The sequence below is a fragment of the Homo sapiens genome, chromosome 14, assembly GCF_000001405.40.
Source record: "Homo sapiens chromosome 14, GRCh38.p14 Primary Assembly".
Classification (NCBI taxonomy): domain Eukaryota; kingdom Metazoa; phylum Chordata; class Mammalia; order Primates; family Hominidae; genus Homo; species Homo sapiens.
Window position 1 is genome coordinate 59197687 of NC_000014.9, and position 23166 is coordinate 59220852.

General features: G+C 39.9%; 1 protein-coding gene across 4 annotated transcripts in view, besides 2 other annotated features; it reads left to right on the top strand.

Annotated features, from left to right (window-relative positions):
- DAAM1 (dishevelled associated activator of morphogenesis 1) overlaps nt 1–23166 on the top strand; it is a 182739-nt gene that overhangs the window by 9020 nt on the left and 150553 nt on the right. The window lies entirely within an intron of this gene.
- Nucleotides 4905–5074: an enhancer, noted in NCBI's record as "experimental_34577 CRE fragment used in MPRA reporter constructs". NCBI's record gives its function as "activates a minimal promoter by MPRAs in K562 erythroleukemia cells, with activity observed for both the introgressed and non-introgressed 14:59669394 variant alleles {active_cell/tissue: K562}" and the evidence as "EXISTENCE:reporter gene assay evidence [ECO:0000049][PMID:34662402]".
- Nucleotides 22705–22999: a silencer, noted in NCBI's record as "tiled region #14842; HepG2 Repressive non-DNase unmatched - State 7:EnhWF". NCBI's record gives its function as "represses a minimal TATA promoter and a strong SV40 promoter by Sharpr-MPRA in HepG2 cells {active_cell/tissue: HepG2}" and the evidence as "EXISTENCE:reporter gene assay evidence [ECO:0000049][PMID:27701403]".

Here is a 23166-nt window from a genome sequence, read left to right on the forward strand (position 1 = left end):
TATTTAACCCAATTTCTTTTCAGGCTGTGTCTGAAGTTACGTTTCTTCCATACCTTACCTTTTCTTTCTATACTCCCTGCATTGCAGTTTGACAGTTCTGCTCCTTTGGCTTCTCTGTGGGCAGGGTGAGATGGCTGTCTCCAGTCTGCCAAGTTCCATATCTTGGGAGCCCCATCACTGACCTTACAGAAAAGCATGTCTTCCCCCCTTAACCCTCTAGCTTAGAATGAGAGCTGTGAGGCAGCTGGGAGAGGAAGGCTTACATTGTAATTCTGTCAAGCTCAGATTGTTTTTCTGACGAACAAGTTGAGGGAAGTAGGTAGAGGGGAGGACAGAGAGAGTTGCTGGGTTTCACTTATCTTATCATTTGTTTCCCTCTGGATGGCCTTTGTTTATGCTGTCTCTTCAGGCCAGGAATTCCTCCAACAGAAATCATGCGTACACTCGGGGACATTCACATTGGGGCTTCCTTCTTGTGTTTCCATTTGCTGATTTGCCTTTCTTTTCTTTTCTTTTCTTTCTTTTTTTTTTTTTTTTGAGACGTAGTCTTGCACTGTTGCCCAGGCTGGAGTACAGTGGTGCAATCTTGGCTCACTGCAACCTCCGCCTCCTGTGTTCAAACAATTCTCCTGCCTCAGCCTCCCAAGTAGCTGGGATTACAGGTACCCGCCACCATGCCCAGCTAATTTTTCTATTTTTAGTAGAGACAGGGTTTCAACATATTGGTCAGGCTGGTCTCAAACTCCTGACCTTGTGATCCGCCTGAACTCCTGACCTCATGATCCGCCTGCCTCGGCTTCCCAAAGTGCTAGGATTACAGGCATGAGCCACCGTGCCTGGCCCCATTTGCTGATTTGCCTTTCTTCTCTACAGCCTGATCCGGAAGGAGGGGTGGAAATACTTAACCTGCTTTTAATGCTTCTGTTAGGGGATAAAGAGATTTTACAACAGTGATGTGGGGCAAACATGTGGGTGACTTTTCTAATGAGGAAGGAGGATAATGCTGAGTAAATGTAGATTCAATTTACATGTAACTTCTGTTTGGTAGAGTGTTTAATCACACATGTTTGACACCTTGAATGAAATCTCTTCACCTGTCTTTTGGTGCTTTGCAATTGCACAGAGAAAAAGACACACTCTTTGATTTTAGGTTCAGTTTGGGTAATCGTGGCAATTCCTTTAAACTTTCCGGACCTCTCTTTCCTCATTCACAGTGTATTCACATAGAATAAGCTATCTTCTGGATAAAAATTCTAAATTTTTGGGAAGACAGTATCCTCTTAAAATAATGACCTCACTTATGTGGCACTGTGTACTCATCAAAGTAATATCCATTGAGTTTCCCTAAAATGGAGATCGGTGAGGGAGAACTCCGATTTTTCGCCCCCAGTTTTCAGCCTTGGCTGCCCCTGCCTTGGCATGGTGTCCTGAGATCCTGTTCTTGGCTGGAGCTAAGCCCCATGATCTGATCCCCAGTCTCTTCTCAACTGCACAACTCAGGAGTTTTGTAGGATATAAGGGATGAAACTCGACAGAGTCTTTTGGTGATCATACAGTTCTGTTTAAATTGATCATCACTTTTTAGTTTCTACTTAATTGTTTTTCTTTTTTTAAATTTGACATGAGGTCTTGAACTCCTGGCCTCAAGCAATCCTCCCGCCTCAGCCTCCGGAGTTGCTGGGATTACAGGCGCATGCAACCGTGCAGGGCTGATCACCACTTTAAACTGGAGTCTGACCACCAGGGGGTCCACAGAGTGAATGTAGCCAGCTGTCCATGTTTTGCTTGGCCAGCACAGTATTATTTTTAAAAAGGAGTGATATTTTAGTGAGCATTTATGTTCTGATTTGTCACAGACCTTACCACACTCTAGTGCCTAATGCACAGCCACTTAGTTTATGTGATATTTATCTCCTTGGCCCTTGAAGACATTGAGTTTGTGATTCCTATTTTCAACTAAATTAAATTGGGATGAATGTCTCTTCAAAGGTTTATCTAGCAGTGGGCTGGCAGATGACCCATTTTTGTATTCTAACCCAGGGTTTCCCAACATCAGCACTCTTGAAATTTGAAACTGGATAATTATTTGTTGTGAGGCAGATTGTGCTGTGCACTGTAGGATGTTTAACAGCATCCCTGGCCTCTACCCACTAGATGCCAGTAACATCCCCTCCTCCAGTTGAGACAGCCCAAAATGTCTCCAGACATTGCCAAATGTCCCCTGGGGGCAAAATCACCCCGGGTTGAGAGCCATTTGACAGAGTTTTGGATGGTCTGAAGACTTTAATCATTGAACCAAGCCTGGATATTTAGGGATAAATTGGAATTCATCTGGGAAACTGCGCCACCCTGCTGTTTTTATTTATTTGGGCAGTTGGTTAGAGCAAAGTAAAGGTCAGTGGATTAGACCCTTTAGGGTCACTTCTCCATTCTTCCATGACCACAGCCTGGGAGGCCAGCCACATTTTAAGGACATGTCTTTGGTCACAACAGGAGACTTTGTGAGACACTGATGCTGGGTCAGGGTAAGCCCAGCAGATCTAGTAGGTAAACAGCTTTGAAGCCCATGGCCTGTGTTGGTAGCTCAGTAATGCTATCTGTGGGTAAGGAGGATGGGGCTTTGGGGAAAGGGAAGGCCAACTCTGTCATTATTGTCAAATGCCAAAATGCTTTAGAAAAAAAACCTTAAGCTTTAAACATGACAGCTTATCTCAAATCAGCAGTGTGGGAAGGGCTCTGAAGAGGATTAGCACAGTGATGTTCCATTTTTTTTTTCCTCCCCCAAACAAGAATGTTTTTTAAACTTGACTCTAAAACTTGGGCTTTGGCAACACTGAAACTTGCCTTGCCTTTTAGAAAAAACATTGATAAGATTTTCAGGGTACAAAATGAAAATGTTATAAGGTTTTAAAAACCAACCCAAGTTCCTTTCTTGAGCAACTAATGCAAAGATAATGCTTAAGGAAGCATATATTTTCATATAAAATGTAAAACAACGTTCCTTCGCAGTTGGATAGGTGGGACTTCTGAGGATATCCAAGCCTCTTCTGTTCTGTCTGGTCTGGTAGTTCTCCACCTTGGATATGCATCAGAATGTTCGCAGTGGATTTTTAAAAAGAGATATTTAGGGATGCTGACTCAGTAGATGTGGAGTTGGGGCCCATTCTACAGGATTCTTAAAGATCCCCAGGTAGGCGGGGTGCGGTGGCTCGCTCCTGTAGTCCCAGCACTTTGGGAGGCCAAGGCGGGCGGATCACGAGGTCAGGAGATCGAGACCATCCTGGCTAACATGATGAAATCCTGTCTCCACTAAAAATACAAAAAATCAGCCAGGCGTGGTGGTGGGTGCCTGTAGTCCCAGCTACTCGGGAGTCTGAGGCAGGAGAATGGTATGAACCTGGGAGGCAGAGCTTGCAGTGAGCGGAGGTTGTGACACTGCACTCCAGCCTGGGCGACAGAGTGAGACTCCGTCTCAAAAAAAAAAAAAAAAAAAAAAAATCCTCAGGTGATTCTGACATTCAACAAAAGGGGAAAATAGGTGAGAAGAGTGAAAGATCTTGGGTTCGGGAAATGTAGTTATAGTTGCAGATGTGGGCTGGGTCTGGCTGCCTAGCTGGTTAAGTGCACAGCTTTGTTTTTAAAAATTCCATGTCTGGCTGGGCATGGTGGCTCATGCCTGTAATCCCATTAACTTGGGAGGCTGAGGTGGGTGGACCACCTGAGGTCAGGAGCTCGAGACCAGCCTGGCCAACATGGCAAAACCCTGTCTCTACTAAAAATTAGCTGGGTGTGGTGGCTGTTGCCTGTAATCCCAGCTACTCGGGAGGCTGAGGCAGGAGAATTCGCTTGAACCTGGGAGGTGGAGGTTGCAGTGAACCAAGATTGTGTTCCTGCACTCCAGCCTGGGCGACAGAATGAGACTCCATCTCCACGCCCTGCCTCACCCCCCTTCTAAAAAAAAGTAGCTGAGCATAGTGGTACACATCTGTAGTCTCAGCTACTCTGAAGGCTGAGGCGAAATCACTTGAACCCAGGAGGCAGAGGTTGCAGTGAGCCAAGATGGTGTCACTCTACTCCAGCTTGGGCAACAGTGCGAGATACTGTCTCAAAAAAAAAAAAAAAAAATTCATGTCCATTTTGGTGTGACTGTTTAAAAAGATTTGTTTTAGAATTTTGAATTTGTGAAAAGGAAGGGTCTTTTACCTGTCATATAGTGTGCACTACCTAATACACTGAACCTAATGCTTCTAATAATATTGAAGCTCTATTATATTTTGGCAGGTTTTACTGAAAAACCTCTAAATCTGTAGATGAATCAATTTACATTTTAATCCACTGTGTAAAAGAAGGAAACAAACTACCCATTCACAAATAATCAGTACCATGAGCATCCTTGAGATAAAAATTCAGCGGGAGAGTAGTAGTAAATGCTTTTCTTAGCCTTCCTTCTAGAGAAGGATCTAAAATAATCTAGAAAGGATCTAGGTTCTTTCACAGCTACCTCTGTGAGCTTCCTGTGAGACCCTCCTCTGGCGTCATAGACGTGGGCAGGTCCGTTTCAAGTTTCCCTCAGTCTGTTTCATGTTGCCAGCACTACATCTCATGGAGGACCTTGTCTTTGGCCCAGAGTTACAGTGACCCAAGGGGGTGGGAGATCAAATAAAATGGCTTTAAAAAACATTTAGACAGAATTTCAGATCCAGGCTTCTAGCAAGCATAGCAGAAGCAAGGAAAATAGCTGATTTTTAGGGGAAAATATACTTGGCATTTTATGGACTATCCCATAAACCATAAAAGCAACACCTTAAAACATCATTCATTTGTTCATTTGCCATTTAAAAAATGTTTTTAGTGTTGAGCGTATACATTTCAGAATGCTGTATGTTCTTAGAGAAACCCCCGGTTTTTTCCTTTGTAGTACAGAAGTCTTGTTTTACTTAAGTAAAGCTCAGATTATCCTCTGTCTTCAGCTTCTGAAATAAACATTACCTGTGCAATAGGTGAAGAGTTTCCCCAATGAAATGCTCTTTGCGTTCCCTGGCAGGTGCTTTCATGTTTTGCTTATTTGGAGCATTTTCATTTCTTTCAAAGGAATGTTTACAACATGAGTTATGGAAGTTCTACAATCCCAAATGAGTTTTTAAGATATTTGTTATGTCTATGGTCAAATCTTCTACCTCCTGTTCTTTTCTTTCCTAAATGTTGATTTTGAGTCTTGAATGCCCAAGCCTTTCTACTACTAGGGAAATGTATTAGCATAGCGTAGTATTGAAGAAAGAAGGACAGTTAAAGACAGAACATGAGCTTTCTTTTTTTTTTTTTTGAGATGGAACCTCGCTCTGTCACCCAGGCTGGAGTGCAGTGATTCGATCTCCACTCACTGCAAGCTCTGCCTCCTGGGTTCATGCCATTCTCCTGCCTCAGCCTCCCGAGTAGTTAGGACTACAGGCACCCGCCACCACTTCTGGCTAATTTTTTTTTTTTTTTTTTTTTTTGTATTTTTAGTAGAGATGGGGTTTCACCATATTAGCCAGCATGGTCTCGATCTCCTGACCTCATGATCTGCCCGCCTTGGCCTCCCAAAGTGCTGGGATTACAGGCGTGAATAGCTTTCTTTTGGAGATGATGAAGATGTTCTAAAAGTAGTGGTAATAGTGACATATTTGTGAATCTCCTAAAACCCACCAAATTGTACAGTGCATATGGATGAATTTTATGGTACACAAACTGTATCTCAAAATAAAGCTATTATTAAAAAACATTTAAAAGAATCAGACTAAGTAGAATCTTAGATTTTTAGGCCTTAGGGATAATACTACTTTCCCATTTGTTATCTTCATGTACATCTCATTTTTTCCTCTAAATAAACAGAGTATGACATGCACAAAGGATAGATGTGGTAATTCCTTAATATTTATGGACCACTTGAGATATGAGAATCTTTGTTATAAAGAAATTTTTGTTGTAGTAGAATCTGATCCATGTTTTTCTCATACATCCTAATCATGAGCTAGGGTATTAGAGGATAAAAAGCTTTCTTATACTTTATACCTGCTGTGATGACAAGCTAAGGTTTTGGTGATGCCTTTGGCTTGGTCACAACGTGCTTTCAGTGTGTTCATTTGATTATTTTGCAGCATGTTTCTGCTGTAGAAGTCTTCATATTGTAAAAAGCATTCAAGTATGAACTCTTGCCTATAAAACTAACTGTGTTGGATAAGAAATGTTTTATTTAACAGGGATTATGTAGCTCAAGGTTTCTCAAATTTGGATTCATGATCGTCTGTGAAACACTGTATTAAAAGTTAAATTGCCAAATGTTTAGGTACTCACTTGGTGTTGATGGGATCATAAACCCATGTGCAAAGGTAGGCCTTGAGATACTGTGGTGTTATTTGGTTATAAAATGCTTATGAAGGTGTATTAGTTTTATTACTGCATAATACATTACCACAAACTTAGTGGCTTAGTAGTCTGCACATGCTGTGGCTAGATTCTCTGCCCAGGGTCTTAGCAGGCAAAAATCCAGGTGTCAGCCAAAATGCTGTAGTCTTCAGCTGGGGCTCAGGGGCTTCTTCCAAGCTCATGAAGTGTTGGCAGAATTTATTTCCTGTGACCATGGGACTGAGGACCACTAGCTGTGGGCCAGGGACTGCTTTTAGCTTCTAGAGGCCACCCACATTCTGTTCCACATGGCCCACATTGGCAGTTCACAGTGTGGATGTTTGCTTTCTTCCATGCCACGTGGAGAACATCTCTCTGATTTTTTTCCCTGCAATCAGCTGGAGAAGAGGCTGATATTAAAGGGCTCCCCTGATTAGGCCAAGCCCACCCAGGGTAATCTTCTTTTGACCATATAATGAAACATAATCATGAGAGTGGTATCTCATCATAGTGACTGGTTCCATCCACATTTAAAGTGGGGAAGGGAATTATATGAGGGCAAGGGTAATGGGGTATCATTTAAAGTTCTGCCTGTCATATCAGGTAACGTACATTTATGCCATTATACTCTTGATGATTATTAAAATGAAAACACAACATCCAAAAAATCATCAGAATGGGGCTGGTGCAATGGCTCATGCCTGTAATTCCAGCACTTTGGGAGGCCGAGGCAGGTGGGTCACTTGAGGTCAGGAGTTCGAGACCAGCCTGGCCAACATGGCAAAAACCTCTCTCTTAAAAAAATAAATAAATAAGTAAATAAAAATCATCAGAATGAATGGCAACTCACAAATATGCTTCACGACTTCCTCTGTCTTCCTAAAATGATCCCCCCATCAGATTTATTGCTTCCTGTTGCTACTTTTTTTGTTTTATGTGGAGTGAAAATGAAGATTTTAAAAACATTTTATTATTGAACATTTCCTACTCATATACATAGAGAAACTAATACAACTAGTATGAGAATCCTCCATGTTATTTTGTCCTGTAGAATTTTCCACAGTCTGGAACTCTTGTTACAGCATGATTTTCTGTTTACTCTAGTTCCTGTAAATTTGTTAAAGTGAAAATAATTGATGTCTTATACTATCTGGTCACTAGAGGTAGAAAAACTATGTGATAAACAGTGTGTATTGGCAAAATTTATTAGGTCCATGTATATAGAGATATTTCAAGAAGCATATACATTTAGCAGTGAAGCAAATGTCAGGTTTTCCAGATTCCTATTATTGAGAACAGTTTAAGTTTAGTTCAGTTAAAGTTCTTACAGAAAATAGATAACATTTAAAAATATTAAGTGATGTTTGGATTTGCTGAGATCTTTGACCTGAGTGTGTTTGTTGAATCAGGTTTTAGCTTCTTTAAAAGGAAAAAAAATTCTTAAAGGAGAAAGACATTTGAGTTTTGAGTTTTGGAAAATGACCAGATTTAAAAATTGAGGTCATGAAATAATTGCTTTTTTACAGTGAGCCTTTGCTAGTTATTTCATATCTGTATGTTCTCCAAAGACAGGTCTTTTGTCCTTAAAGACATGATGTACTATATTTAAAATCTTTACCTTGGAATATTCTGTTTTTAAAAACGCAACACTTTATATTGTGTTAAGAGAATAATTTTATATGGTTGTCACTGAAAGAAAATAGAAGCAGTTATCTAACTTAAACTTCATTTTGTAGGAAAAGATACCCTTGGGATGAGATAAATAAGAATACAGTAGGTTAGAAGAGAGGATGGCCAACTTTTTCTGTAAAGGTTCGGGTGGTAAGTTTTTTTGTTTTTGTTTTTGTTTCTGTTTTTTTGAGACAGGGTCCAGGGTAGACCTCCCCGAGCTCAGGTGATCCTCCCACCTCAGCCTCCTGAGTAGCTGGGACTACTATGCCTGTCTAAATTTTGAAAAATTTTCATAAAGACAGGGGTCTCACTATGTTGCCCAGGCTGGTCTCGAACTCCTGGGCTCAAGCAATTCTCCCACCGTGGCCTCCCAAAGTTGCTGGGATTACCAGCATGAGCTACTGCACCTGGCCCTCAAAGTGTTCTAAACTATGTGCAAATGGAGAACCTGAAGAGATTTTTCCTTAACCTCTCTTGATACATGTAAGATTGTGTAATTCACTTGATCATTCTGGGGCTCAGGTATTTATTTTATTTTATTTTATTTTTTTTGAGACGGAGTCTTGCTCTGTCGCCCAGTCTGGAGTACAGTGGTGCGATCTCGGCTCACTGCAAGCTCCGCCTCCCAGGTTCACGCCATTCTCCTGCCTCAGCCTCCTGTATAGCTGGGACTACAGGTGCCTGCCACCATGCCCGGCTAATTTTTTGTATTTTTAATAGAGACAGGGTTTTACCGTGTTAGCCAGGATGGTCTTGATCTCCTAACCTCGTAATCTGCCTGCTGCGGCCTCCCAAAGTGCTGGGATTACTGGCGTAAGCCACTGAGCCCGGCCAGATATTTCATCTATAAAATAAGATATACTTATCCCACTCTTATTCCAGTGTTTAAAATTAATTGGAAAAAAGATTAGAGTTTCTAGAATGCCGGGTGTAAACAGTAGATACTCTTTAGGATCAAACTATTTTGAGGAGGAAAGTAGTAAGAAATATTGGAAATCAAGTCTACTTTTCTGAAGTTTTGACAAATCAGTTTGTATTATCTTCAGCTACATTTAGCAAAAAATACTCTAGTAGATTTAGGAACTAAAGTAGGGTCTTGACTGGGTTTGTTTTGTTGAATTAGTAAAACTTATTTATCATAGCTTGCATTTGTTTTAAAACATATTTTGATTAATTATTAATTTATTTTTAATCAGTGTTGTGGCCTGTATGCAGGAACTGATCTATTGGTAGATAGTTGGTGCTAAAGAATAATTCTCAAAGAGTTTAAAAATAAGATTCTCAAAATTATAAACACATGCCAACAATTTTAATTCATTAATTAATGAGGGAACCAGTAAGATGTTAAGGGTCGTTCACAGGAGAATTTGAAGAACAGGTATCTATATGTCTGCCTGTGTATCTGTCATCTATCCACAATCAGAAATGCTGAAATAAATTTGCTAGTGTATACAGCACTTGTTAATATTTTCAAGGGCCGTAAAATGCAATGTTTGCTTATCTTTTCTATAGGCATGTAAGGCAATTATATCACTACCAGACAAAATTCATTTGTTTTGCTATGGACAAGAGGCATTACATTACTGTGTGTTTTTGGCAAGTGAGTTTCTGCCTCTACAGAGCTGTGAGATAGTCTAGTCCAACAGGTTCTCAAACTTTTCGATTTCAGGACCCTTTGACTCTATTAAAAATTGAAGATCCCAAAGAGATTTTACTGTGTAATATATTTATCATGTTAGAAATTAGAATTAAGAAGCTTTAAAACTATTAATTTCATTTAAAACATATCAATAATGAAACCTATTTCATGTTATGTGAATGATGACTTCATCGTGGGTATTAAAGCGCCTCAAAAATTCTACTCTATGCTTGTTGAGAGAGTAAGAGTGAAAATGACAACATCCTCGTGTTACAATGAAATTAGTTTTGAACTCACGAACACACTGAAAAGTCCTCTGGCTCTCCAGGACTCCTCAGATCATATTTTGAGAACCACTGGCCTAATTACAAACAAAAAAGTCAAAGATCATCCCTGGAGGGCCTCTTAGACCACAAATCACACTCCATTGAGAGGATACCCAGTAATCTCTTTTGCCCACTTCTAAATCTTGGGTTTTTTCCTGACAGCAGTCCCTTCTCTGAGAAATTTTGCCGTGCCTAGCATGGGGAATTTTCAAGGCCATTCTGAAACTATTAAGTCAGAAACTTATTTTTTGGTTATAATATTAATTTAGGTTCACTGTGGGGAAAAAAACACAGAAAAGTACATAGAAATAGATAAAAATCTTAATGAAGTTTTAAAAATGCTTTTGATTATACATTACCTGCGCTCTTTTGCATTCTGCCCCCAATTAAATGTTGTCATAAGCATTTTTCATGTAATTAAAACTCTTAATAAAACTCTTAGATGACTGCATTTATTTTCATTTTATACATGGTACTGAGAAATAAAAATAAAATCCTAAGCCTCCCAGTTGACCGAATAGACACCCTGTTGTCCAAGGGGACTCCCAGAGAAACCTTAAAAATTGAATTCCTGGCCATGATGGAATGGGAGATTTGACACATCTTAGTATGCCCCTTCCTTATGAGCCTTTAACCAGCATTCCTTCCTAAGGAGTAAGCAGAAGCCAACTCCAGAAAACAAGAAACGAATGAGTCATAACTTCATCGCTTTCAGCCAATCATCTGAGGCCATGGCCGGACTCCCCATCTTTGCAGTTTCGATGTGGCAGCTCACCAGTTTCACATGCATCCCTTCCTAAAAACTGACCACCATCTCTAGGCAGGTTTTGTCCAACTCTCTCAGGAGGTCCAGTGAGGGTTTTCATGTCCTCTGCTTTGCCTTTTGACATCAGAGGGCTGAAAACTCAACCCTCAGATCATGCTAATGCCACTGTTTTTTGAACATATGACCCATGAATAGGCATCAATATCATTTGGATGTTTGTCCCCTCCAAATCTCATGTCGAAATGTAATCCCCAATGTTAGATGTGGGGTCTGGTGGGAGGTGTTTGGGTCATGAGGGTAGATCCCTCATGAATGGCTCAGCACCATCCCCTTGGTGACGAGTGGGTTCTCGCTCAGTTCAGGCAGGATATGGTTGTTTAAAAGAGTTTAGGACCTTCCCCTATCTTTCTCTTGCTCCTTCTCTGGCCATGTGATGTACTGGCTTCCCTCTTCACCTTCTGCTGTGATTGTAAGCTTCCTGGGCCTCACCAGAAGTCCAGCCCTGTTGCTGCCATCCATGTACAGCCTGCAGAACCATGAGCAAATTAAACCTCTCTTCTTTATAAATTATCCAGCCTCAGATATTTCTTTATAACACAAAAAGTCCCAATACAGGCATGAAGCTTAGTTGCGCATGTGCATGTTTCTCCTTTCATAAATATTCAGGACTCCTCCTATAATCTGTTAAATACTTATATTTGACCATCCCTCTTGGCATACATTTCTGTTCTCTTTACTCCTCCCTCCAAGTGCTTGCTGGATGGCACCTTTTATGAGAAATAAAGCTCTCCTTTCCAAATTTATGAACCTTATGATTCTTCAGTTCACAGTACAAGATAACCATTTTTGTTTTTCCATTAAAATTATGAACATCTTTTCCATGTTTTAGATTATTTTCTTAGGATAAATTCATAGAAATAAATGAAACAAAAGGTGCGTAATTTTCGTTTTTCTAAAAGGAAAGATGGTCCCCGACTTACGATGGTTCCACTTGCAGTTTTTTGATATTACCACTGTGGGAAACCAATATGCATTCAGTAGAAATTGTACTTTGAATACCCATACAACCATTCTATTTTTCATTTTCAATATAGTATCTAATAAATTCCATGAGATATTCCACACTTTATTATACAATAGGCTTTGTGTTAGGTAATTTTGCCCAATTGTAGGGTAATGTAAGTGTTTTTGAGCATGTTTAAGGTAGGCTAGGCTAAGCTATAGTGTTCAGCAGGTTGGTGTATTAAATGTATTTTCAACTTACAGTGTTATCAACATACAATGGCTTTATCAAGATGTAACCCTGTTGTAAGTCAAGGAACATCTATATGACCAAATCATCCTCAAGGAAGATTTTGCAGGGGCCAGGCACAGTGACTCATGCCTGTAATTACAACACTTTGGGAGGCCAAGGCAGGAGGATCACTTGAGCCCAGGAGTTTGAGAGTAGCCTGGGCAACATAGGGAGACCCCCATCTCTACAAAAATTAAAGAAAAAAAAAATAGGAAAAAAAGTAGATGGGCATGGTGGTACACACCTGTAGTCCCAGCTACTTGGGGTGTGTGGGCTGAGGTGGGAGGATTGCTTGCGCCCAGGAATTTGAGGCTGCAGTGAGCTATGATACAGCCAGTGCACCCCAGCCCGAGGGTCTGAATGAGACCCTGTCTCTAAAACAAACAAACAAAAAAACCAACCAAAACCAAAACAACAACAAAGTTTTGCAAATTGACGCTCTTGACAGTGAAAGAGCATTAAAGCATTTTTCACTTCACCATTGCCTACAATGAGTATTATTATATTACAATTATCTGTGATTGGACAACTAGCAAAAGCTATCACATGGTATTTTTGCATTTTAAAAATTTATTAAATATAACTTTCCTCCCTAGGTCATTTATATTTTTCCTTTCTTAAATGGCCTGTTTGCGAATTTATCTGTTTAAATCTCAATGTTTTTGAAATGACCAGAAATGGGAGTAATTAGCAATGCAAATAAGCCAGCACTTTTCATAAATATAATAAGCAGTCATTAAACCCTTTGGAAGGAAACTTACGATATCTCCAGGTACATTTTAAATGATCTAAAATATTTCTCTGTGATTAAGGGTCTCTTGCTTCAGTTTCGCATAATTAATTATCTTAACATACCCTCTCCTCATTATCTGGAGGGAAACCTCAGGCTAGCTTCTGTCATTTTCTTGCCAGTTTGCATTTCCTGGAGTTTGCCTTAGTGTTTTCTTAATCTTAGTAGTTTTCTGCTGATGGTGTGACTGCTACAAAGAAGGCTTTTCTGAAGGCATAAAAACCAGGGAAATGATACATAGTTTTTCCACTGGACTAAACTTGTTTGGAAAATAAGGAGGTAGAACAATGAAATAATCCAAATATTATGAGGAGAGAGGGAGAAGTTTATATTATAATGATTTATGTGATAAAAGAAATGTTATGCCCAGTATATTTTGTTTATACATGGTGTTGTAAAACAGATCCAAATGCTTGTCTAAAATATTTGCAGCATTGCCTGTACAGCACCTAAATTTTACAAAATGCTGTACTTACGGTCCAATTGCCTTTTTGTCAATATATCATAAACCAATATTGTAGGAGAAATGGTTTTTCTTTTAAATGCTTTAGGTTTGGTAAAGCACTTTAGGTTTGCTTTAGGTAATTTAAACAGAGAAATAAATCTTCTTCCAAGCACAGAGAGCTTCATGTTTAAAATTTTAGATGATTGTAATAATCCCAGTAACAGAATATAATGAAGTGTTTCCCAGCACACTTTAGAGAAGACATACTGAGTATTATGGTTCTGTTCAGATTTTATTTTCTGGGACTCTATTTTAAAGTGCTCCATCTGTATTTAAGAAAACACATGCATGCACATACATCCTGTGGCACTCTCTTCTAGGGCAGGTGTTGGTGGGTAGGTCCCTGTGCATTTGTTTGGGGGACACGTTTGACCCAGTGGTGTAATAGTTGTTACAAGAGGATTCTCTGGAGGAAGGCTGCTGCTGCAGAGGAGGAAGTCACATTTGTCTTCTCCCAAAACATCAACTCATTGTCTTCCTAGCTTGCAAAAATGAATATTTCTCCCCAGTTGATTTGTTAATTTCTTGCATCATTCAAATGCCAGATGATTGGACTCTACACAATTGACCGAAGGAACAGAATTTCCAAGAGTGTCAGTTGCCTTTCTGAGTAAAATAATCAGACACTTCACTCACATTCTATGAATAAATAACACCTCCAGTGTAAAATGGATTATGAGATGTTTTATCTTAATTTTCTATATTTCTTGAATTTGCACTGAAAAAAATCTTGTGAACAATCTTTAATATAACACAGAATAATGATTTTAAACAGCCTCTCCCCTGCTATGACTAGTAAAGTTGTGGACTAAAAATATTCAAACATATTTTTCTCATTAATGATGAGTTCCATATTATTTTATGAACTTCTGAAAGATAAATTTTAAGAAATATAAAACACTCCTTTTATTTTCTGATTTAGCCATTCCTCCTTAATTCTTATTTTAAGTGAAATATGTGATTGCTAGATTCACATTTTGTAACTTTCTTTATGTAGGTTTCATTTTTTAATGGGGCTGATTCTAAATGGATAAAACTTTGATACATAGTTTCTAAGATAAAACATCATTAATTTTTACCATGACTGGTAGCTGCTATTGGCTTGCATTTACTGAGGTTCTCATGTTTCTACTATTTAGGCTTAAAAATATATGACAAAGTATGTGATCATAATAATGCCATAATTCATTTAGTATAGTCATCTGGTCGGGAGTTATAAACTTTTTTGAAGTCAGACTTGTTTGTTTGTTTTTTTAAATAGTATTAAATGAGAATTTCTTATACTATCAGTTGTCACAAGGTGAACAAATATAAGTAATTAAGTCAAAGTTTTGAAGCACATATTATGGCTTATGCTGTTGAAAACTCTCCAGTGTTTTAGCATAATGTCCGAGTCAAGTTAGAACACAGGTCTCTGCTAATTGTCATATCTTAGATGATTGCCTGATAAAGATGATTGTCTGGCGTAGCTTGGAGTACCAATACAGGAGACATGTTCTTCCCCCACTTCCTATTCCTTCCACTGCCATGCTAGACAATGCTTATCAAAGGTGACATTCTTTCCTACCCAGCTTGGACATGCCTCATAATCCTGCCCAAGCAGCATTCTAATAGCCACAGCTAGTAAACAAGGGATCTAACTAGTTTGTCAGTGTAGGTAGTAGAATCTTTAAATTTTTTTTTAAAGGCCATTGTTAGTATTTTTAAGAGATCAATTTACATCATTTATTTCAGATGGAATATTGTTTATTTCTCTGTCGCAGTGGCTCCCAATCTTTTAGAATGTTCCTTTTTAATAAAAAAGAATCAGATTCTCACATGACCTTGAATTTCTTTAACACTTTAAATGAATTTTACTTTTATCAATCGCAGCATATAAATTCATTGGAAAAATAGGCATGTGTATATGTATCAGACATTCACATGCTTATGAATGAAGGACCCCTTGTAATACTTCTGCCCCTGCCCCCCATTCCACACACCACCCCCTCCCCAGGAGTAGGGATTAGAAATCGTTAGTCTTTCCATTTTGTCTTCTGTGGTTTCAGTTAAAGTTCTAAAGACGTATTTTACTAAAAGTGGAATTGACTTTTTGTATTCAGGGGAACTTGTCAGTGGTTTTCATATTATGTGCCGTGGAGTCCCAGGATTCCAGAAGATGCCTCAAGGGAGACCCCTCCCTTCCCCCGTATCCCTTCCAGCTTTAAGCAGCCTGTCTGCTTTAAGCTCTTATATATATTGAGATTCTCCATGAGATTTCATTTGTATAAATGATTTCACAGCTTACCAAAAAAAAAAAAAAAAAAAAAAGGAAAGAGAAAACCACTGATAATCCCACCTTGTTTCACACATGATTAAATGCAATGCCCAGAGTATTTTGGGGTTATCCTGTTAGTTAATGTTGAAGCCAGGTTGAGGACTCTGATTGTCTGACTTGCAGGCCACTATCCCTCTACCCACTGCTATTCCTAAAACTAAAGGAGGATGTAAACTGACACCACCACCAGCTGTGAGTGCAGCACATACTTATATGGAAAGAAAAATTGTTTACATTGTAATACCAGGGGACTCAAATCTGTTTCAGCCCTTAAATAAAGGGTTGCAGGGTATACGTATATGTAAATGCTTGTCTTGCCTATGTGTGGCCTTCTCTCACTATTTACGGTGGGTGGAGGGAAGGTGAAGCTTACTTTTATAAATTTTATTTTAAAACACAGAAGAGCTGATGCTGCAGTCGGAAGACAGTTTATTTTTCTCCCAGAGCTGGACCCCTTCCCTGTTGTGTTTGTGACATACTTTGCCTTGTCCTGATTTTAAGCATTGGGCAAGCAGAATCTGCCATCTTTCCTGGATTTCACCATCTATCAAAGGGCAACCTCAGAGCTTGTTTCTCAGCAGTGGTCACCTATTTCCATTATTAAATCAACTTGCTACCAAGATATCAGGCAGATATCACACTTAACGTACCTGGTTTGATTTGGCCTGCCTTTTTTCATCTGAGGCGTTAGCACAAAGCTAAATTTCCCTTTGAAGTTCACTGTGATTCCGAGGATCTTTGCTTCAGTTTACTTTGGAAGATTGGGGCTGTAGCTGATTCAAGATAACTGGAGCAGGTGTCTGGTGACAGTTTGCAAAGGGTGCTGTGTAGACCTAAGTTCTGTGCCTGGCATGAGAAACCTCTTTGTCTTTCTTGTATACGTTGGTTTAAGTTCATGTGGATCACTATGAGGGATGTTAAATGTTTTGCATTTAGATTCTTCCAAGTTGGCAGGTGCAAGGCAGGCCTGGCTGCTACCACAGACCCCTGACGTGCTTCTTTCTTCCTTGCTCTCCTCAGGAAGGTCATCCTATTTGAAGAGATACTTTTCTGTTAACTGTGGAAAAGCCAGATGTCTCACTTTAGGCAATAGTTTCAACTTCGTTTCTTCCCATGTAGTTTGACAGATCGACCTCAACCCTGACCCAGACAACTACTAATCTGCTTTCTGTCTGTATGGATCAACCAGTTCTGGACATTTAATATAAATGAAGTCATGTAATATGTGGTCTTTTTTGATTGACGTCTCTCATCTAGTTTAATGTTTTCCAAAGGTTCATCCATGTCATGGCATGTATTGGTACTTCATTCTTTTTTATTGCAAAATAATATTCTGTTTTATAGATATACCACATTTTTTTTTATTCATGGACATTTGGGTTGTTTCTACTCTTCAGCTATCATGAATAATGCTGCCGTCAACATTTGTGTTTAAGTATTTGTGCGAACATGCGTTTTCACTTCTCTTGAGTAAATACCTAAGTATGGAGTTGCTGGGTCATATAGAGACTTGGTGTTTAACAATTTGAGGAAATGCCAAATGGTTTTCTAAAGTGACTGCACTATTTTATATTTCCACCAGCAATGAGTGAAAGTTCAGGTTTCTCCATATCTCATGTGTTTTTTAAACACTGTATTCTGTTGTGTTTATAAAATGTTTCCTCTTGTCTTCATAGATGAGGGAGTCAGGGACCTGAATGATAATTTTGGAGGAAATGAAACAGATGAAAGTGAAATAAATTATTTTCATATTGGCTCAGTGTAGCTGTGGAAACCTTTCAGCCCTGAGCCTACAAACCTTCCTGTTTGACTGGATATGACATTACCAGGAGTTTTACTTTCCTGCCTTTATTGTCCCTGGAGAGAAAAAAGAAATATGTCTTTTCCACAGCTAGACATGGAAGGTTCAAACAAATATAAAGGACCCCTGAGTTATTAACAATTCCATGGGAACATGTGCTTGGTGTATGCCCAGAATAGTTCCTTTCAAATGATTCTCTTGGTGCTTCTGCACTGTTCTTCACCAGAGTGTAACATAAGAGCTGAATCAAGGCTTGTTCAGTCAGTGTTTGGAAAAGAAGTGGTGGCTGGATGCTGGTCAGCTGGCTTGGGCTGTTGGCAAGCTTGCCACCGACCATGCTTTCTGCAGGCGGCAGCCGCTGCAGGCTTGTTAAAGGCCTGCACCAGGCCGAAGTGTTTGCATTTGCCCTGTCGGAGCTCAGGATAACAAGGCCTTTCATAATCCACCACAGTAGTAAGCAGGCAAGTCCGGTGGCTCTGGAAATGTCCCAGTACACCAGCCAAAGGCAAAATCCCAGCTCCTTTGCCCTGTGTGACAGCCGCGGGGAGTAGGCTAGGGTGGGGGTTGAGGTAGATAAGGAAGGAAACACCAAGGAATGTCATTTTTGTTACATAAATTGATAACTCCAAGTGCCTTCTCGCTACAATTGATTGCTTTGGGTCATATATTGACAGTAAGCAATTTGATTATTTGCCTGCTGAAATGACACTATAGCATGAGAGGTCAGCCTCTTAGGACAGCCTTTCTCACGTTCCTCTCATTTTTATTCTTGCTGAGCGGGACCATATGAATGACAGGCTTGTTTGCGAGGGTAGATTTCCATTCCATTCATGCACCTTGCAGACCCAGTCACTCTTCTTGTGGGTGGAGTTTGCTACACACAGGTGGAGTCTAGAAGGTGAGGTCCCCAGGGCCTCCCAGCCCTGTTTGAGCTGATTTTCTCTTCCTTGAGTCTTGTCCAGCCATACCTCCTCTGACTTCCCAGGGTCCCTCCCTAAAATGCCTTACTCACATGAGGAGAGGACCCTGCATTCTGACCTCCTCTCCATTAATGCTGCCTGTCTCAGGCACAGTTTTTCAATGTACTGTGTTATTTCTGTATTTCTGTCAAGTCAATATCATGCTTTTATTAAAATGACTTTGAGTGTGTGTGTGTGATATTTTTGGACAGCTGCCTGTTTATTATACTCATGCACATTGTCTGTATTTCATAGAGTAGGCAAAAAAAGGATTTTAATCAATTGCAAGAGTCAATTTCAGGCAGGACGCAGTGGCTCATGCCTGTAATACCAGCACTTTGGGAGGCCGAGGCAGGTGAATCACTGGAAGTCAGGAGTTCGAGACCAGCCTGGCCAACATGGTGAAAGCTCTTCTCTACTAAAAGTACAAAAACTAGTTGCTCGTGGTGGCATGTGCCTGTAATCCCAGGTATTTGGGAGGCTGAGGCCGGAGAATAGCTTGAACTGGGAGGCAGAGGTTGCAGTGAGCTGATATTGCACCACTACACTCCAGCCTGAGGGAGAGAGCGAGACTCTGTCTCAAAAGAAAAAAAAAAAAGTCAATTTCATATCACCATGAAGTATTGGAATTCTTTAAGATTAGAGTAACACTTGATGTGTTTCCTGTTGACTAACCGTTTGTGTGATTTCTGTAGTAATTAAGGTGTTTGGCTTAGTTACCTCAATTGGAACTATAAAGAATTGAATTTTAAGTATATACTATGTGTATGTCTATATAGTTTTTTTTTTTTTACTTGTTTGTAGCCCAGCGATGCTTGAAAGTTGAGAGACAATACCTCCCCAAACACCCCAATATAGGAGTTTCCAGCAGTTTTTAGTTTTTTAAAACAGATATTTGATCCACGTTTGTTTGTCTTGCATTGTGTTTGACCTGGTCTTGGGAGAAAAAGAAACTGTCTGAAATGGGCTGGTTTTCATGGAGGCAGGGGTGAGGTAGGGTAACCTGGCTCTTCCTAGTCTGAATCTGGGCCTTTTTTGTTGCTGACCACAGTGGGCTTGGAGAGGCAGCCTGCTTGTCCTGCCAAACCTCAGGACTGCTCCCTGTGTGTGTGTCTGTGACTGATTTCTTAAGGGCAGTAAGGATTTAGAATTTATCAAGCACCATCACCATAACACTTCATGTACCCACCTTCAACTTGAGTACTGTGTCTGCATTACAATTTTACTACTGAAAATCTTCCTTTTGTGTCTTTTGAGATTTTCACTGTAGATGGGCTTCTGATTATATCAGTGTGGTGTAACCAGAGTTGGTAAAAGTTTGACATTTGATTTTTTAAGATATAACATGTCTATGCTGCTGTTATGGTATTGATTAGCAATATGTAGCTATTTAAATTATAATTAATTAAAGTTAAGGGCTAGGCATGGTGGCTCATGCCTGTAATCTCAGCACTTTGGGAGGCCGAGGAAGGAGGATTGCTTGAGGCCAGAAGTTCGAGGCCAACCTGGGCAAAATAGTGAGACCCTGTCGCTACAAAAAAGTACAAAAATGAGCCAGGCACAGTGGCTCATGCCTGTAATCCCAGCACTTTGAGAGGCCAAGGCGGGCGGATCACAAGGTCAGGAGTTTGAGACCAGCCTGGCCAATATGGTGAAACTCTGTCTGTACTAAAAAAAACCCAAAAAACAAAAACAAAAATTAGCCGGGCGTGGTGGTGGGCACCTGTAGTCCCAGCTACTTGGGAGACTGAGGCAGGAAAATCACTTGAACCCAGGAGGCGGAGGTTGCACGCCACTGCACTCCAGCCTGGGCGACAGAGCGACTCTGTCTCAAAAAAAAAAAAAAGGATCAGGTATACTGGCATGTGCATGTAGTCCCAGCTATTTGGGAGGCTGAGGAAGGAGCATCACTTGGGCCCAGGAGTTGGAGGCTGCAGTGAACTATGATTGGGCCACTGTACTTCAGCCTGGGTGACAGAGGAAGATCTCATCTCCAAAAAAAGAAAAAAATTCAAGATTAATTTCCTCCGTCAAACTAGCCATCTCATATGTGCTCACTAGCCACGTGCAGGCTAGTGGCTACTGTAGTAGATGGTGCAGGGATAAAACATTGCCATCATCACAGAAACTTTTACTGGACAATGCTGACTGTAAACTTTTTTCTGCCCCAGAGGGTCCAAGCAAGACATTAATCACAGCAAAACAGAAGCTTTGCTTAGATGAGTTCAGGTACTGGAAAATTGCTGTTGCCTGTTCCTAGCCTAGAGAGAGATAAATAGATGTGCCATTTTGCTCCAATTTTCTCTGAGTAGTGTTTCCTTGCTGTGATTTCATTTGTTTCTAAAGGGGTGTGAATATTCAGTAATAAGACTTGCTCATATTCAAATGCAAGTTAAATAATCTGAAACAATATGTAAATAGTTATTATCTACCATTCCTTGACATTAGAACTGATACTTCCATGTCCAAGAGTGAAATCAAGATAAATTAAAATTACACTAAGATTAGATTATCACTATTATTTTCTGATGGCACACACATGTATGAGTTTCATCTTATGTAGGCTTTGTCCTTTGGGGGAGCTAGAGTTTATTTTGGCTTTAATGTCTGTCTGTTGGTTTCTGATTCTTTGGAGATATTTTTAAGTCTCGGCATTTGTTAGCTATCTTTACCCTGAAATTTGAATTCACAAGTTATAAATTTATAAATACAAGAATGGAGCACAAATATTCCCTTCCCCCGGCCCTCCACACATGACTGCCAAGCTATTAATGTTTTTATATGACTGATATGCAAGGGCTGGGACTGTATTACAAGCCATATGACGGACACATAACCTGTTAGTGCTCTAGGAAGTTTCAGGTAAAAGGACAGAGGAGTGGCAGTTATTGGAAAGACCCTTTCTAGTTTATGTGAGCATTGTTTCTTTCATTTCCATTAACTTGAATAATTCTCAATGCCTTGGGAATGTATACCTGTGTTCTTTCTAATGTTGGCATTTGGTGGTGATGGTGTCTACACTGAAATTTTATCTAAAGTCTTCCCCAAACTTAAGCCTGTTCTACAGCCAGTGTGTAATACTGAAGAGGAACTTACTACCTTCCACCACCACCCCATCACCAGCCTATCCTCAGAAACTTTGTAGGTAAAATTGTGTGGGGTTTTTTCTTTTTTTTAAATAGTCTTTTCTCGAGGGCTAGGAAAACTTACTCTATGATGATTAGCCAGGACTTGTGCATAAACCTCTGGGGGGACATCGGCATGCTGTAGTCAGTATCCTGATTCTTGTTCCCTGGTTTCTTCTGGGTATAGCAAGAACACTTTTTATTCTTGGCATAGCACTTCAAGAGATGGCTTATACATTCTTTCCTTTATATTATTTATTCTGTTTCATATCTGCTTATAATTGGTGGTGCTTTTTTCTTAGTCCATGGTAAATTTGTATGTAGACTATTATACGGTACTCTTTCCTCCAAGAGTAAAGTCTAGAAAACTGGAATTTCTGCTTTCTAGAATTGGATCTTAGGTATAGTCAAGACTTAGTGCCAGTGTCTTTCATATGTTCATAAACATCATATAAACATGCAATACTTGATTTGAACATGAGCTTGGCCAACCTGTGTTTTGAGTCCTTCAGCCTTTCCTTATTTCTTGTCTTCTTACTGTAGGATCCTGCTTGTCTAATATCCCTTTGGTGTCTGCTCCTTTGCCTTGAGGACTTTGGTGCCACTTCTGGACATGCCTTTATTCATTCTTAGCTGTGGTCCAACATCTTGCTCCAAAGGCTCACATTTACCTTGTCTGGGTGCCAGCTATAGATTATGTTTGAATTCAAGAGTGGTTCCTGCTATGGATGTAGCTATTGGTTTCGAAAAATACAGATTTTTTTTTTCCAGGATGGCATCCATTGCCTGTCACTGAACTACAGTGAAAAGTGTTGTTTTGGTTTCAGTTCTTGATTTTAAGCATTTGACCAAATTTCAAGGTCTCTCATCCCAAGATTTTGTTTTGCCAGAAGCTTCTGGCAGGAAATAGAATGATAAAGGAAGAGATACACAGAAGTCAGAGAATTGGCGGCTCTATTCTCAGGTGTAATGGAACTTAATTAAACTTTAAGCTCCTAAAAGGCAAGGGTGATATGTTTTACTTTGTTACCTATACTTAACCTATAAGTGGCACATGGATTAACTCTAGAGCAAACATGCTCTATGTTTGCTGAGTGGATTGTTGTTTGGTCTTATTTTTGCCAACATTTAAGGGAGGTAGAAGTTAAATATTCTGTATTAGAAATAAGTTTTGCCTAGTTTTGAAGAATGAACTGGCTTATGACATGGTTTCCTCAATAGCCACAATTATTGCCCCAACAATACTTACTTTATTAGTCTTTGTTTTCTCAAGGAAACAGGACCAATAGGAAATCTGTCAAGGGGATTTATTGTAGGAAGGCCAAGGAGTCCCGCCATCTGCCATCTGCAAGCTGGAGAACTAGGGAAGGTGATGGTGTAATTTAGCTGGGTCTAAAGGCCTGAGGACCAGGAGAGCCAATAGCCAATGGTGGTGCTGGCAGAGGGGGATGGGGATGACTTACTGCTGGTGTGAGTACCAGAGCCAAAGACCTAAGAACTAGGGGATCTCCAGTGTGCAATGGAAGGAGAGGATAGATGTTTCAGCTCTAGGAGAGTGAATTCACCCTTCCTCTGCCTTTTTGTTCTAC